At 40.0% G+C, this 17,934-nt stretch overlaps 1 pseudogene; it reads left to right on the plus strand.

Annotated features, from left to right (window-relative positions):
- Nucleotides 272–2,258, plus strand: UBQLN4P2 (ubiquilin 4 pseudogene 2; annotated as a pseudogene).

Below are 17,934 nucleotides of genomic sequence, written 5' to 3' on the forward strand. Positions count from 1 at the left end.
GGTGCCTCCTGTCTACTCTCATCACATTCTAGTCATAGCAGCATTTATCACACCGTGTTGCAATTGCCAGTAGGCAGCTGGTCTGTCTCAGAGACTCAGCTCTATGAAGGCGGGGAGGGTTGATCTTTTTTTTACCATTATAGCCCCAGTGCCTTGCACAATGCCTGGTATAAACTATAAATATCTGTTGATTAAAAATGATCAAGAACAGAAAGGAACATGGATTCGGGGAGTGAAAAAATACTTTGGGTTTAAATCCTGGCTTTTCAAAGAGGAGGAACCAGGGTGAGCTGGCAGGCAGCATAGCAGCATGGCAGAGCTGAGCAGGGCTGAGATGAAGGCTCCCCATTTGGATCACTGCCAGGACTCCCAAGGACAAGAAGGAAGTTGTGCTGTTTGACCAAATCTTGGTTCAAGGAATACAAAGACAAAATCTCTTGGAGGTTTAAGGCTCAGCAGGATCAGCTGATCCTGATCTTTGCAGACAAGATCCTCAAGGATGGGGACACACTGAACCAGCATGGGATCAAGGACAGGCTCACTGTCTATCTGTTCACCCAGAAGTCTCAGAAGGCTCAAGTTGTGGCTGCTGCTACTGCTTCCTCACCCTCAACTCCAGACCCTGCCTCAGCATCCTCCACCGTGACTACCCACCATCCTGCAAGCCCTCCACCTCTGGCTGTACCACTTTGGATGCTGGTGGTAGAAGCCAGAAGAGCAGTGGGGAGGCAGTTGCCTTTTTAGGGGTTGGGTTGGGGCCTTTTAGTGCTACTGCATCCAAACTCTCTGGTTTTGGGGCATCCTGGGGCTCAGCAGCATGGACTTGGGCTCTACCAACTTTGTAGAGCTACAGCAGATGCAGAGGCAGCCGATGTCCAAACTTGAGATGCTGTTGCAGATCTTAGAGAGCCTTCTGGTCCAGGACATGATGTTTATCCCTGGCCTGATGTGCCACAGATCATGGCCAACACCCAGATGCAGCAGCTGATGGGGAAGAACCCCAAGATGAGCTACTATACTCCCCAACTCAAGTTCACGAGGCAGGTGATAGAGCTTGTTTGGAATCCAGCGTGATGCAGGAGATAATGCAGAACCAGACCAGGGCCTGAGCAACTTAGAGAGCACCCCCAGAGGCTGCAATGCTCTCTACTGCATGTATACAGACATACAGGGGCCCATGTTTAGTGCTGACCAGGAACAATCCCTTCCCTTCCTTGTATAGGGACCTAGCTCATCCTCCCAACTGAGAATTGAGAGCCCCTCCCTAACCTGTGGAATCCCTCACCCCATATCTCCCAGGTTCCTGGGTCTGGTGGGGAGGGCACTGGAGGATTGGGGGCCAGCCAGATGCACTCGACAGTGTCAAACTTCTTTGCAATTAATGCAGTTAGTCTGTGGTCAGGGATGTTCAATAGCCCGGGAATACAGGCCCTCCTCTAGCAGATCTTTGAGAACTCCCAGATGATGCAGAATGTGATCTCAGCTCCCTGCATGGATAGCATGATGCAGATGCTTACCCAAAACCCTAACTTTGATGCTTAGATGCCACTTTTTTGGGGAATCCCTAAGTGCAGGAGCAGCTCTGCCTGCAGCTCTCAGTCTTCTTGTAACAGATGCAGAATGTGGAGTCACTCTCACTTTTTGTCAATTCTTGCAGATGCTGTTGTAGATACAGCAGGGACTGGAGACTTAGTGGACTGAGGCTTCTGGCTGGTACCCAGCCTTGATTTCTTTGGGATGTTTCAGACTCCAGCACCCTTGGCAGACAGCAGCTTCAGGTCTGTGCCCAAGTCTCCCAGCTCTTTCCCAGCCATGCCAGGCACAACTTCCCTAACAGGTCTTCTGATGCCCAGCAGTAGTTCATGAAGTAGATGACCCAGCTTTTGGCTGGATGTGGAAACTCACTGGTGCAGACACTAGAAGTGAAATTTCAGCAGCAACTGCAACTGGAGCAGCTCAACAACATGAGCTCAATGGTGGGGCCAACCTGTAGGCCCTGATTGCCAAAGGAGAAGACAGCAACTCAGCTATTGAGAGACTCCTGAGCTCCCTGCTCTCTTATTCCCTTCGCCTGTGCCTCCTGCCTCTCCCTCACTTGATGCTAGCATTCGGTTCCTCTGTCACATCTTATCCTCTGCAGTTTTCTGTCCCTTCTCTCTTCTCTCTCGTCCTCTCCAAACAGCTGAAGTGACTTTAGAGGCATGAGCCCCAACCCTGTAGGTCTGAGCATTTTGGTTTTACTGTGTGCCTCTAACAGAATCTTCTCTCCTAGTCCTCCCTGAGCAGAGCTATTTAAAAATTTTTCACAATTTTGATTGGTCCTGCTTCCTTGTCCCACACCACCTTTTACAATCTTCAAATCTCTCAGTGGCAGGCACAATCAAAGAAGGAACCAACTATCTAGCTTTCTGAAACAGGGTCTTCCATCTGTACCACTAGGTAGGGTTTTGTTCATCTCATGTTTACTTTTGGTAACTCTCTTCCTCTGTCCGTACCTCCTCTCACTGCCCACCCACTCCTCAGCCTAATTAGTGGTAGAATTCACACTCTGAAGGAAGGGTAAGTGAAACAGGCTCCTCAGCCCCTATTCTGGTCACTTCATCCAGTACTCTTTCATGGGCTCTGTTAGGACTCCCAGGGCAAAGAGGAAGATACCTGTTTCCCTTTCTGAAGGAGGAGATAAGACACAGCTCTCTGGACAGGAATTGAGAAGCTCTGGACCAGCCCAATGGAGATTGATGCAGAAGAAGAGAGAATGAGATTTTTCTGGAGGAAGCAAATGGGGAAAGACAGCCTGAGTATAAGGCTGGGAAGTTGGAAGTGACAGGGAGTGAAAGCATAATAGCTCTCTCAGGCAGCTGAAACCAGGCCTGCGTCTGGTAGAGGAGACTTGGAGATGCTGATGGAACTGGAAGAAAGGGGCTCAGTGAAGCTAAGTGTATGGCCCACAAGTGGTCATATTGGCTCCACTTCCTCAAAGACACATGTTTATGCACATGTGGGTACATGTGCATACACGTGTGTACACACACACACATACACACACAATTCCGTGAACCCAGGACCTGCCTGTGTTTCCACATCTTTAAAATGGGAAAACAGCAGAATATACTTTAAGGTTGTGAGGGTTGAGTGAATGTATATGAAGTGCTTAGAGGGCCATGGGAACAGTAACCATTATTATTGCCTTGCATAACAAGGACATTGTCCCTCCCTGAAGGGGAGAATAATGCTTAATTTTCATTCTTATTTTCTTTTTGGAAGGGTAGAAAAGAGAACGGGAGTTGAAAGTGTTATTCCAGATAAAAAATGAAATACTGCCACTCTTCTATAGCTGAGAATACTATATTAAATACTTGAAATTTGCCAAGAGAGTAGATCTTAAATGTTCTTACCACAAAAAAGGAAGACAATTATGTAAGTTGAGGTGATGAATATGTTAATTACCTTGATAGTGGTAATCACTTTATAATAAATATGTACAACAAAACATCACATTGAACACCATAAATATATACAATTTTTATTTATGAATCCTACCACGATAAAGCTGGTAAAAAAGAAGACAACAGCAACAAACAGCCACTGTCATTCTTTCAGACATTGGGCCCCTTCAGTGCTTAGGAGAAGATGATTGTAAAAATCTAGACTTCTTCTCAAGACAGATTAAATATGGATTTGTGCTAAACCCTCACTTCTTCAGGGATTTTCTGAATATCATGCACACAGAAAAATACTGCTGTGCCTTGTGAAGTTATGGGCTCATATGAGAACAATTATTTACAAAGTTGATGTGGAATCATTTTTAATGTTGTATATGATCAGAGAAGATGCTGGCGGGTTGCTTTTAATATGTGATTTTTCAGATTTATAATAAAGGTTTCTTTTTTCTGAATTTTCACTATTCCTCATTTTACACTGCATGAAGAAATACACATAACTCAGTTCTAATCCTTTAACTCTCAGAGAAAAAATTTCCATGTCAGTTTTGGAAGTTTCCAAGAAATGGTGTTTCTTCTGAGAGGCTAAGAGCACAGCTTGGGGCAATTTAATACACAAATGAACAGATAACGGAAGGGAGTCATGACAATGCCATAGTTCTGTAAGTAGCAAATAACTTTCCTACAATTAGAAGGTGCATGATTTATGGTGACAGTCACTGAGAAAATAAACAGGGAGACTGAAAAACCCTGGGTCCCACAGGGGAGGATGAGTGTGGGAGCAATGGAGGGTAAAAATCCCCAAAGAGCTGGATAATCCCTGTGTTAGGACATTATGTGTTGCTGTTTAATACCTGAGGCTGGGCAATTTATAAAGAAAAGAAGTTTATTCAGCTTACGGTTGTGCAGGTTGTACAAACATGGCACCAGCATTGGCTTGGCTTCTGGTGAGGCCTCAGGAAACTTTTAGTCATGGTGGAAGGAAAGGGGAGCAGGCACATCACAAGATAGAGGCAGCACATGTGGGGAAGGTGCCACTGTCTTTTAAACAATCAGATCTCATGTGAACTCATTACCACTCATTACTGGGGGGAGGGCACCTAGCTATTCATGAGGAGTTTGTCCCCATGACCCAACACCTCCCACTAGGCCCAACCTCCAACACTGGGCATCACATTTCAACGTGAGATTTGGAGGGGACAAACATCCAAACAATATCAAGCTCCAAGCTCTAGCATGCTAGCCTAGAGAAATAACAATCCCTAGAAGGGATTGTCATTTAAACAAGGTTAAATTTGTACAAATATGGTAACGCTATTTTAATCTCCTTGCATTAATGGAAAGCTTTTTTTCCTCTGATAATATTTCTTTTCCACCTTTTTCTAATGGGAGAAGATTGGAAAGTAGAGACCCATGGAGAGTTATCTCCTGACATCATAAGAGTTAATCTTGGAAGATTGTCTGTTTGTCAGGAGATAACTCTCCATGGGTCTCTTGCATTTCTGTGTATCTTGTGAGTAGAGGCACTGGTTGCCTTTGTTTCAGATTTTTTGTTCAAGGATGTTTGTATAGCAAACAGCCTTGAAAGATAGCAATAAAGACAGTATCTCCCTGCAAGGAAAAGAGCAGATATGCTTACAGTTTGGGAAGGTAGAGATGGATTTTTACTTCAGAGCAAAGGCAGGCATTTTACTGCACTGATGATTTATTGCACATTATAAAATATTTGGCTTCCTGAAGCTCAGGGTCCCTCTCCTATAATTCAACTCACTGCATGTGCAGGTGTTCCCTGGCCCCTTTCACATCCCCCTGGGGAAGCTGGGTCAACCAAACTGACACAAGAAAATAAATGATAACCCTCTGGCTACTGTTATCACTGTGACTAATAAAGTCCATTGTCTCTGACCTAGGAGGCTATGTCTTCTGCCAGTATCCATGAAACTGTGCTAGGCCAATTTCCTGTTTGCAAATAGGGTAAAATTTCAGACCCTTCAAGATTCTTCTTTTTCTCACAAAAGTTACATTATGTTTTTCGTTAACTGCCTGATACACCTCTAAAATATGTCTTTTCCTACACACGAGGGGAGTTGATAAAGTCTGTGGAAGAATGGAATTAAGAGCTGCAAATAAAAGTTGTGAACTTTATGTCTCAACATAAGCTCCATCAAGGTCAACACACTTCTGTAAGTGATGATCCCAGCCATTTAGTCCATTTTTTTTCATTTAGTCCATCTATAAAGAACTGAGGGTCCTGAGAATTTAACCATGTCACTGCAGTCTTTTTACATTATTAACTGAAGAAAAATGGATACCCCTTTAAGATTAGGAAACAAAAACCAATCAGAAGGAGCCAAATCAGGACTGTAAGATGAGTGCCTAATGATTTGCTATCAAAACTTTTGCAATATTGGCTATGTTTGATAAGAGAAATGAGCAGAAGCATTGTCATGGTGGAGGACTCTCTGATAAAGTTTTCCTGGGTGTTTTTCCGCTAAAGCGATGGCTATCTCAAACCACTCTCCTAATAGCCAAATATTATCATCCTTTCGTCCTTTAGAGAGTCCACAAGCAAAACATCTTGAGATCTCAAAACATGGTTGCCGTGAAGTTTCCTCTTGATCAATTTGCTTTTGCTTTGATTGGACCACTTCCATTTTTTGGTACCCATTGCTTTGATTGTGCTTTGTCTTCAGGATTGTATTGGCAAAGCCATGCTTTATCTTCTGTCACAATACTTTGAAGAAATTCTTTAGGATCTTGATCCCACTTATTTAAAAATTCCATTGAAAGCTCTACTCTTGTCTGTAGATCTGGGTGCAATGCTGTTGGCACCCGCTGCATGGAAAGTTTGCTTGACTTAATTTTTTCAGTCAGAATTATGTAAGCTGAACCAACTAGGATGTCTATGGTGTTGGCTATTGTTTGTGCTGTTAACCATCGGTCCTCTTCAATTAGGGCGTGAACAATATGAATTTTTTCCTCGAAAATTGATATGGATGGTTGCTGCTTCAGGCTTCATTTTCAACATTGTCTTGTCCCTTCTTAAAATAAGTTATCCACTTGTAAACTTCTGGTTTCTTTCAGGCATGGTTCTCCTAAACTTTTCATAAATCAAAAACTTTTCACCATTCTTCCACCCAAGCTTGACTATAAATTAGATTTTTGTTCTTGCTTCAATTTTAGCAGCATTCATGTTGCTCTGATAGGGACACCTTTCAAACTGATAGCTTATCCTTGGTGTCACAAGCTAGATCCTGTGCAGAGAGGTTATAACAAGTTGTTATGTTTATTTTGATGCAAAAAATTTAAATCCGTGCATGGGTGTTTTCATAATATGCATTTTCTGCAAATGTTTTGAAGACCCCCTCATATTTTTGGTGAAAAATCTTTGATTATTTTTTCTTTTGATTAGGATTTTGTAATATCACTTTCTGTAGAAAGAAAAGAAAATTTCACTTGCTTGTGAAAATTTCTAGCATGGTTGATGGAAATTAATTTTTTCAGTGTTAATAATTGGGATATATAAACTCTGACTCACACACAGATTACTCCTAGTTTGTAAGCCTGCTGTAGGTTTGTGTTTTAAGAGCAGATGAATTCAGAAAATTCTATTTCACAATATTCCCATCAAAAATACATATGAAATATCTAAATATATATGCATGAGAGTTATAATTGTAGGTGCTGTTTATAGTTAGTATATTTCTAACAAGACAGGAATGAAAGTTAAGTCCTCTACTTACAGTTTTACATATCTGATGTTTGGAAGAATTTTCCACAGACTATTTTCTGACTCCCTCCACTTCAAAGTTTATTTCTTCTCCACTACTGCATACATCTAGATGTACAGGCATCTTGGGAACATTTGTAATGAGATTTGATGTGTGATGCGAGGATCTTGCCAAGAGAGCCAGTACAGTGGGCAGGGGGAGAACCCCTGGATATCACTCCTATGCCATCATGGCATGTGGAAATGACTCTCAGCCATGAACACATATCCGCTAAACCCCAACCAAATGGGTCTCTGACTCAATTTCCCCTGAGCTGGATCCCCTGATCACCTTTGTCAACTGCACCCCAGTCCATGTGAGGATAAGTGTGCAGACAAGCAAACCAGAATGGAAAGAGACAGTCAGTGATCTTAACTAACTGTGGTAAGTACTTTCTTTTGCAAATTTTACAAAACTATGCAACCCCGTGACCATATTTGCTACACACCCCTCTGACAGTCTGGAAAGGGACTGATTGTAGGGCTCTGTCAGTGGACTGTGAGAACAGGGCAGGGTGGGACAGTCAAGCCAGTCTTCATCCAGCCCAGCACCAGGTACAAATAGGATCTGAATTCACACCACTCATTTCTTTTGTTTTTTTTTTTTGATGACACAGCAATGTGAAAGCAGACCGTCAGACTCTAAATAGAACACAATCCTTTCCACCCATAATCTCGCCAGCCTGTCTCTTCTATTTATGGCCCTTTCTAGGTCTTGTCTTTCTTAATTCTTTTTCTTTTACTTCTTTTTAAAGTATAAATAATCTGTGCACATGACTCACGATTCTTGACAATGCTTTTCCCACATTTTATTCTCAGAGAGTTGAGTACATTTTCTTTGCTCTGTATTAACAATGTCTTATTTTGAAGTTCCTTTATACCGTTTTTCTCTTATTCCTTGTCTCAGTCACCTATAAACAACACACACACGTTCTCCTACCATTATTAATAATTTCATGCATTGCCTATGAAACTCTCTGTCTTCTTCACTATCCATCCTGAGACACCTCCCTTGGGAATATCTTTCTGTTTCTTTCCCAGACTCCCAGATGCCTCAATTCCAGTGGCCTCTAATTTTTAAAATTGCTCGATTACCTGGTTTGAACTTACACTTTATCAGTCAAAATTGTTTTGCCTGCAAGACCTCAAATTCCGAAGTTTCTTTCACTTTAACTCTCCTATTTTTTTATTTTTAAAATTGATGCATAATAGATGTACATATTTTGGGAGTAAATGTGATAAACTTAATATATTTATATTTATAATTTGTAAAGATCATATCAGTATAATTGGGCTATTCATCATCTTAAATATTTGTGTTATTAAAAATATTTGTGTCTTAAATATTTGTGTTTTATTTATGCTAGAGACATTCAAATTATTATCTTCAAGCTATATTGAAATATATAACAGATTATTGTAACCTATAGTTACCTTACTGATTTATCAAACACCCTCCTGATGTATGAAACACTACTAGGTATTATCTCTTCTATCAAACTTTATGTTTGTACCCATTCCTTTTTTTCTTCTTTTTCTTTTTTTTTTTGAGACGGAATCTCGCTCTTTCGCCCAGGCCGTACTGCAGTGGCGCGATCCTGGCTCACTGCAAGCTCCGCCTCCCGGCTTCACGCCATTCTCCTGCCTCAACTTCCCGAGTAGCTGGGAGTATAGGCGCCCGCCACCGCGCCCGGCTAATTCTTTGTATTTTTAGTAGAGACAGAGTTTCACCGTGTTAGCCAGGGTGGTCTCGATCTCTTTACCTCGTGATCCACCCGCCTCAGCCTCCCAAAGTGCTAGGATTACAGGCGTGAGCCACCGCGCCCGGCCTTTGTACCCATTCTTAACTAGCTTTTTGCCCTCACCTTTTCTTTCAGTCCTTTGATATACTTCTCTCAGTTGTCTTATTACTTGATATTTATTATATATTGTGAACTTGGAATGTGCTAAATACTGTGCTATGTAAAAATTTATTTCTCAAAGCAAATTATGGGAATAGGTGCTGTTATTATCTTGATTAAAAATTTGAAGCTTAGAGATGACATAAAATTCCCAAGGCTACAGAGGTAGCAGGTGCAGAACCAGAGCTTGATGTAAGGCGGGATAATCTTCAGTTCTCTATCCGATCTCTGGCTCCACTACCCGTTTTGTAGTGACGAACTTTTTAACTACTCTAGGCTACTCCCTAGAAAACTGGACTATTGCATATTGCCAAATAAAGCTCATATAGATAAATGTATCTGTAAAATCCATGCAATTTTTTAGATCCATTCTGCTGCTCAACAAGTTTTTGATCACATTTTGTTGATTTTTGATATTTGTCACAATGGTTGTTCTGTACAATCTCAAACCCCCAACCCTATGCTCTTTACATTTGGTTGAAGCCTCTCAGTAGAATCTCTCTCAATTCATTACATTGAGGCTCTCTCTCTCTCTCTCTTCTCTTTCTTTTCTTTTTCTTCTCTTTTTCTTTTTTTAAAATAAACTCCTTTCTCTCAGGATGTGGTATCTTTCCAAGACTGGGACTTGGATCTTTGGTCTTGGCTCTACCACTTCCAGGACGTTACTCCATTACCTGTGCTGCCTCTCTTATTTATTCAATAAGAAATAATCCTGTCTTTCATGACACAGTAAAAATTATACTTACTCCTGTAACTACCAAGGTTTTCATTGCATTTTAATTTCTTGCATTTGGCATTCATTTCTTTCACTCACTAAAATGCTGATCTCAAAAAAATCAGTAGATATTTTTTAAACACTGGGTGTAATCCCTTTCTATTAGTTGTTATCTTCATTAAATCACTGTGTTACTTGACACTCTCCTCCTCCTTACTGGGTAAAAGAAGGTGGTCCGAACTCTGAGCAAGGCCTCTGAATTCAGAACTGGCTTTGAACTTGGGCTCTTCAACTAAACTAGCTCTGAGATTTTAAATTAACTTCTCTGAGCCTCAGTTTCCACATCTCCAAAAAGAGAACTTTTATACATACCTTTAGGCTAACTTGGAGGGTAAAATAAAATTATTTCTGTAAAATTTTCAATGTGTGGGGGGAGGGATAGCATTGGGAGATATACCTAATGCTACATGACGCGTTGGTGGGTGCAGCGCACCAGCATGGCACATGTATACATATGTAACTAACCTGCACATTGTGCACATGTACCCTAAACCTTAAAGTATAATAATAATAAGTAAATTAAAAATAAATAAATAAAAAAGGATAATGTTAGGATGAAAAAAAATTCTCAATGTGTTTCTGATTTATAACAAATCTTCAATAAATGACAGTTATCTCTGTTATGTCAACTACTATATATATATGATTACTAACACAATATCGAGCACATAATAATTTGTTTCTATTTATCTCCCTCCACTAACTTCTCTTTTATTTTATGTATGTTTACATTATTGGCTTTTCATTCACCTTTTAAACAAACGTTTTCCTCTTTCTGTGGTCTTAGCTTCTTCTCATTCTCTAAGAATATGTTGCCAGTTTTAATCCTTAGACCACCTGTTTCACATCTTTATATTTGTGTTTTTGACCAACTATATCCTTTCCTGCATCTGCTACTATCACCTTTATGCCAATGACATCTCCACGTATGTTTCCAGGGCCAAATATTTAAAATCAAAGCTTTTAAAATTACATACCTGAAAAACATGATCATTATAAAAATTCAAACAATATAAATATATACGGAGTAAAATTTAAAAAGTCTTCTCCTCTCTAATACCTAGTTTACAGTATCTGCTATTTCTCTGGAGCAGGGGTGGAAAGCATGCGTTGTACAGCTTTTCCTATGTGTTTGTATCCAACAACAAAAACAACAGCACAGCATACAGGATTAGACTTTTTCAAATAATCTAATCCTAAACTGTTAATCAGTATTTTCATTTTTTTTTCTGTTATAAAACTTCATTTGGTTGTCCCAATAGAAGGTTAAAGTGCGACTTTACAAGAGTACACTCATATTCCTTCCCAATCTAGCATATCCTCCTGACTTCTTCTGCCTGCCATAGATGCTGTCGATAATCCTAGTTCTTGAGGATCAATTGCTTGGTCTCGACCTCTTCTTCTCCTTCATCCCTCACCACATCCAATTGTCTACCAAAATGTATAAATTCCATCTCTGCAGTGTCTCTTTTGTCCTTTCCTTAAAATTCTCTGCCTGAGGATTTTTGGCTCACACTGATAGTGTGATTCAGACCACCAATTTATTTAAGAATTGCTTTGTAGTTCATTTTTTTTTTGGTGGGGGGGAAGATTTTTTTTCTTTCCTAGACCAGTGCCAAGTTTGAGATTCTTGTTCTTTCTTTCCTTCTGTATTTCCCCTATCATATTTTACTTTAATTCTTTGCCACGTTTTCTGCTTCTGTTACTGCAAGAGAAGCTCCTCAAGGGTAGAGACCACATTGCCCACTTTCAGTCTCCTAATACATTCTCTATCTTGGGCATGTAGTTTTCTTTTTCAATTCGAAATCAAACAATGGTGCTTCACAGCACTGACTTTTGAACTTGATTTGGCAAAGTCTGGAAACTTTCCCACCTCTAGCGTCTTAATCCTTTCTACACACCCGTGGGGGAGGGAGGATCTTCCTAAAACTCAGTGCAATCATGTCACTCTCACTCAGACTCTGTGCTGGCTCTCCACTGACTACTGAATATGAGTACAGTTCTTCCCTCTGTATCAAGGCCCTCCCTGATAGGACTCCAAAATATATTTCTGGTTTATCTATTCCATTGTTGAAGCTCTAGAGAGCTAAACCACTGATAGTCCTCACGCTCCTTGCCGTGCAAGTGTTCTCCGTATTCATTTAATGTCTTCACTGTCTTCCTCAGACTGTGTTTACTTTCAGCACCACGGCCTCCATCTCCATTTATTGACAGTCTAATCATTTTCAGTTTCATGTCAAATGACACTTTCCCGTAACTATCGTGGATTTCATAATATTTTCTTCTTTTCTTCAGTTAATTTGGATTTTATCTCATTGTTTACTGAACTATAAGCTCTTTTCAGGGACTCTATCTTTGTATCTCTGTACCTCTTGCAGTGTCTTGTGTAGGGCATGGATATTTGGAAAATTAAACATTAGAAGTTGCTCTTGGAGGGAAACAAGTGACTTTTGGGGAAGGTTACCTGCTTTTGGAGGAAAAAAAGAGAATAATAGCAATTGTTATAAACATTAATTAATGAATTTTGTATTCATCCAATACATATTTATTGGATAGATACTCTGTGTCAGGCATTGTGTTAGGTACTAACATGTGATGGAAATGGAGAACATTACCTTTGTCCTCAAGGAATTTAAAATGTAGCAGCAAAGCAGACAGTGAAAAAAAAAAAAAGCAATTAAAATAGAGAGTCACGGGGAGGACAGGATGCAGTGGGGACATGTAGCCAGGGAGTCTGACCTGTCTGCTGGACACGGAGTGGGTGGCAATCTGAAGAACATGTAGGATCTAGTCAGGTGGCTGGGGTGGGTGTGGCAGTGTTTTCTACAGGGGAAACTGGGTGTAATAGTCTTGTGGGGAGAGTGCACATGGCACATGAGACAAGTTTGATTTAGCTGGTGTATAGGCTAAAAAGAGTGGCAAGCGACATGCTGAAGGGGCCCAAATCACAGAAGGTTTTGTAAACCATGGTAAGGAGTTTGAACTTTTCCCCTGAAGATAATAAGAAACCATTGCAAATTTTTAAAACAGGAGTTATTTGATCAGATTTGTGTTTTGGGAGTTTCCCTTTGGTGTGGAAAATGGAGACAATAAATTTAAGGAGATACATTAAAAGTCTGTTTTAGGAATCCAGGCAAGGTGGAGAAAATGAGAGAAAGAGAATGATGGGGATGATGATGATGATGATGATGATGATGATGGATTAATCTTGGGAAAAGGCTGTGTGATTTTGTTTTTTAAAATTTTTTAAATTTAATTTTATTTATTTATTTATTATACTTAAAGTTTTAGGGTACATGTGCACAACGTGCAGGTTTGTTACATATGTATACATGTGCCATGTTGGTGTGCTGCACCCATTAACTCATCATTTAACATTAGGTATATCTCCTGATGCTATCCCTCCCCCTCCCCGCTCCCCACAACAAGCCCCGGTGTGTGATGTTCCCCTTCCTGTGTCCATGTGTTCTCATTGTTCAGTTCCCACCTATGAGTGAGAACATGTGGTGTTTGGTTTTTTGTCCTTGCGATAGTTTGCTGAGAATGATGGTTTCCAGTTTCATCCATGTCCCTACAAAGGACATGAACTCATCATTTTTTATGGCTGCATAGTATAATGTTCAGGTGAAGATGGAACCTGAACTCTGGATTAGAGAGCAGGGCAGCCCATGAGAACACCCTGGAGTTAAAGATGAAAAATTAGGGATTCTAGCCTGAGGAGCCCAAAATAAGCCCACTATGGCATTTTGGTACACAGTCTTTCAGAAGATAAAAGGGCTTTGGGATAAAGGAAAGCAATTTCTGTGACTGCATTTTACAGTAGATGCTTTCATGAAGTTCAGGGGCTGAAACTCACTATGAGAGAAGATGGACAGAGGAAGCTCTTAGGGAGGCTGTGTTTGTAGTTACAGAAGCAGAGCATTTCTTCAGAAGTAGCAGTAGACAAAGAAGAGACATCAAACATCTGGGGAACCACCTTGCGTGATCATCTAGGAGAATGGTCTTGCACACAATTTTAATGTGAAAAAAATGTTGCATATGAAACAATGTTCAGATGTGAGCCCACTTGGACCTCGAGTAAGTGAGGTCGTAAAGAAACTTCTCGTGAAGAATAATAGGTAGTTGAAGCTGAATAGTGTGAATATACATAGCTTTTATTTTTATTTTTAAAAATTTTATTCACTTATTTAATCTTCATATATAACATATATCAGGAAAAAGCAAATTATTCTGTAAGAATTTTAGGGAAATGCAGTGCATTTACTTTTAAATTAATATGAGAAGACATGGACATTTCTATGTTAATTTCAGGGAACGTTTTATTTTTTAACTGTCACCTCCTCAAAATCTTCTGTCTCCCAACCACGTACTTTCCATATTTTTGACAAATGGGCCTTCTGTGCACAAGCCTCATAATCAAATTGGTTCAAGAATAAATTGCTGCAAGTGAAACTTTCTTATATTCACCCTTGTGACAGCTAATGAAGACGAATGGGGGAAAAACAGGGACTGTGCTTTGCGGAAGGAGCTCTCATTCCCCACTGTGTTGGCTGAAGGCAAATTTGTTTCAAAGGAAAAAAAATAGCATCATCTAATTGCTTAATTCCTGCTGAAAGCCATTGGCAGCCAGCCTGCTCAAATACACAGACTTTTATTTAGAGAACAAGTGTAAAACTCTTTCATACACATCCAACAGAAACCTTATTTTTTTCCTCATTGAACAGTTGCCATTATCAGAAAATGTTTATATTTGATTTGCAGAAAAAAAGAATATTTACCTTTTGTCGATGTTCAAATTAACTATCTGAACAAACATTTCAGATTGCTTTAATTCTGGGAAATATAATAATTAGGGAATGACTAGAAATTTAGAGGTCACAGGTCATTTTTTTTTCTTTTTTTTTTTTTTTTTTGAGACAGGGTCTCCCTCTGTCACCCAGGCTGGAGTGCAGTGGCGCTGTCATAGCTCACTGCAGCCTAGACCTCCTGGGCTCCACTGATCTTCCCACCTCAGCATCCCAAGTATCTGGGACCACAGGCATGTGACACCATATCTGGCTAATTTTTTTACTTTTTATAGAGATGGGAGTCTCACTTTCTTGTCCAGTCTGGTTTTGAACTTCTGGGCTCAAATGATCCTCCTGCCTTGGCCTCCGAAAGTGTTGGGATTACAGGTATGAGCCACTACTCCAGCTGACAGATAAATTTGAGAATGTTTTTTGCCTTCAGCTAATTTAAAAATTAAGATGCCAGTCAAATAAGTGACACAATTGGAACCCTCATACGTTGCTGGTGAGAGTCAAATTGATACAAACAATCTGAAAATCTGTTTGGCAATCTATTAAAGGCAAATATATACCAGCAGTGTGGTCTAGCAATTTCACTGCTGGGCATTACCTAACATAAATGATTTGGAATGTTTATATTGGCATTAGTCAGAGTAGCCCCAGACTAGAAACAACTTAAGTATCCTTATACAGAATGGAATACCTGTATAACAATAAAAAAGAATAAAGCATTGATCCAAGCAACAACATAGAAGACTCTTAAAAACAATGTTAAGTAAAGGAAGTTAGATATGAAAGAATACATACTGTATCTGTATGGTTCCTTTTTTTAAAGTTCAAAGAAATACAAAATTAATCCATTAGGATAAAAGTTTGAATACTGGTTATTCTTGATGGGGATTGACCTGGAAGGGAGGCAGGGGAAACTTCTGTGGTGCTGGAGATGTCCTAGACTCCAGTGTCATTGTAAAGGATGGTCACTATAAGAGGATTAAACATTTGTAAAAATTTATTGAGGTGTATACTTCAGATTTGTACATAATAATGTAAGTTGTACTTTGATTTTAAAAATTGACCATCTTGGGCGGGCGCAGTGGCTCATGCCTGTAATGCCAGCACTTTGAGAGGCTGAGGCGGGCAGATCACGAGGTTAGGAGATTGAAACCATCCTGGCTAACATGGTGAAACCCCGTCTCTACTAAAAATACAAAAAATTAGCCAGGCATAGTGGCACATGCCTGTAGTCCCAGCTACTTGGGAGGCTGAGGCAGGAGAATCGCTTGAACCTGGGAGGCAGAGGTTGCAGTGAGCCGAGATTGCACAACTGTACTCTATCTAGCGTGGGCAACAGAGCGAGACTCCGTCTCAAAAAAAAAAAAAAAAAAAAGGCATCTCTCCGATTTCTTGAAAACCTTTTTTTAGTTACAGAGAAGGAGAAAGCAGGCAATAATCAGAGCTTGCCTCCTTGACCATGACTTTGTTGGCCTTGCATATTTCAGGTAAATCAGACTAAGTGACACACCCTCACTACACTGAGTAATTGATTTTTCAGTTAGGAGATAACAACTGTAATAACTGAATATTTATTGGATTTAAAGTAGTTATTAAAGATAAATTTGATTTACAGAGCTACAGAGGCTTTGAGAGCATTCTGTAAATAATCTTTCTGAATTTGCTGCATAGGCCTTTGACCTTTACCATTTTTATGTCCCTTGATTTGCTCTTTTGGGACCCATGGCCTTATCTAGTCCTACTCTAGGCTTTGCTAGACATCCTTTCATAGGCTTTTTTAATGGCCAGATTTCACCTTCCTTACAGTTTGACCCATGAACTTTGGAAGTACACAAGGAGATAAGACTGTACTTTAGAAAGCACAAGAAATTTAGAATGTCTGGAATTTTAGAAAATGTTAGAGGAAGACCTAATTTTCACAATAGCAGTCAGTTATTTCAATGGACGATGAAGTTTGCATGAGGAACACTCTCTGTTTCCAATGTGGTTGAAGAAATTGAACTTGGTTGTAGCAAAACACACAAGAATGATGAGGAAGATTTGAGAATAGGAAATGACTTTAGAGATCATCTCACCCTTATGTTTCCAAGAGCATGAGCAACATATAATTTAATTAAGGTTACTGTCTTTAGATCTCTTCATTTATTATGCCTGTTGATATTTAACCGATGGAAGAATAGAAGGCATATGCCCTGGCATCGCTAGAAGGACACCAATACTTTTCACCACTACTGGATTTTTTTTTTTTTTTGAGACGGAGTTTTGCTCCTGTTGCCCATGCTGCAGTGCAATGGCACAGTCTTGGCTCACTGCAACCTCCACCTCCTGGGTTCAGGTGATTCTCCTGCCTCAGCCTCCTGAGTAGCTGAGATTACAGGGGCCTGCCACCATGCCTAGCTAATTTCTGTATTTTAGTAGAGATGGTGTTTCACCATGTTGGTCAGGCTGGTCTTGAACTCCTGACCTCAGGTGATCCACCCGCCTTGGCCTCCCAAAGTGCTGGGATTACAGGTGTGAGCCACCGCGCCTGGCCTCTACTGGATTTTAGTGTTTATTTGGGCTATGAAATTGTAACAGTGTACAAGATAGACTCTGGAGTTGGAGTAGAGGGTTCAAGGTCTTCTGTTTACTAGTTCTATGATCACTGACAAGTTACTTAACTTCTCTAAGCTCCAGCTTCTTTATATCTAAAGTGGAGTTTATACTAGTGTCTGACTCATTAGAATGTTAGGATTAAATGAGATGACATGCACAGCACTTACCACTTATCAGAGCAAAGCCTGATACATCTTAGGAGCTCAATAACTATTCCCTAACATCACCATCAAACAATAATACTAATAGAATACTGCTACTAATAATAAATATCTATTTATTAGCTTATATTTATGCAGTTAATCTGGTGAAAATTTCTCCATGCGCAACTGCCAGTGTGTTTAAATGACCAGTACTTCCTATCCTTTTTTTATCCCTGAGTCTGCTAACAGTGTTTATCCTCCATGCAGAATTGAGCCAATTTATATAATGGTTTTAGAAGTGAGGTAAATAGGATGAGATTCATTAGTGTTGGACTGATTTGTGCCTAGAAGCCCCATGGGACATTTCTTGACAGCTAAGCCACCTAGCCCCCATGGCGCCAGTTAATAGAAAAGCTTCATCTACAGTGAATTCATTTGTTATTGCAGTGGGAACATTCAATTTCCTCCTCTTTTTTATTTGCAGTTGCATTAGACTCCGAGTTTCCGAATAT

Source organism: Homo sapiens, chromosome 2 (genome assembly GCF_000001405.40).
Source record: "Homo sapiens chromosome 2, GRCh38.p14 Primary Assembly".
Classification (NCBI taxonomy): domain Eukaryota; kingdom Metazoa; phylum Chordata; class Mammalia; order Primates; family Hominidae; genus Homo; species Homo sapiens.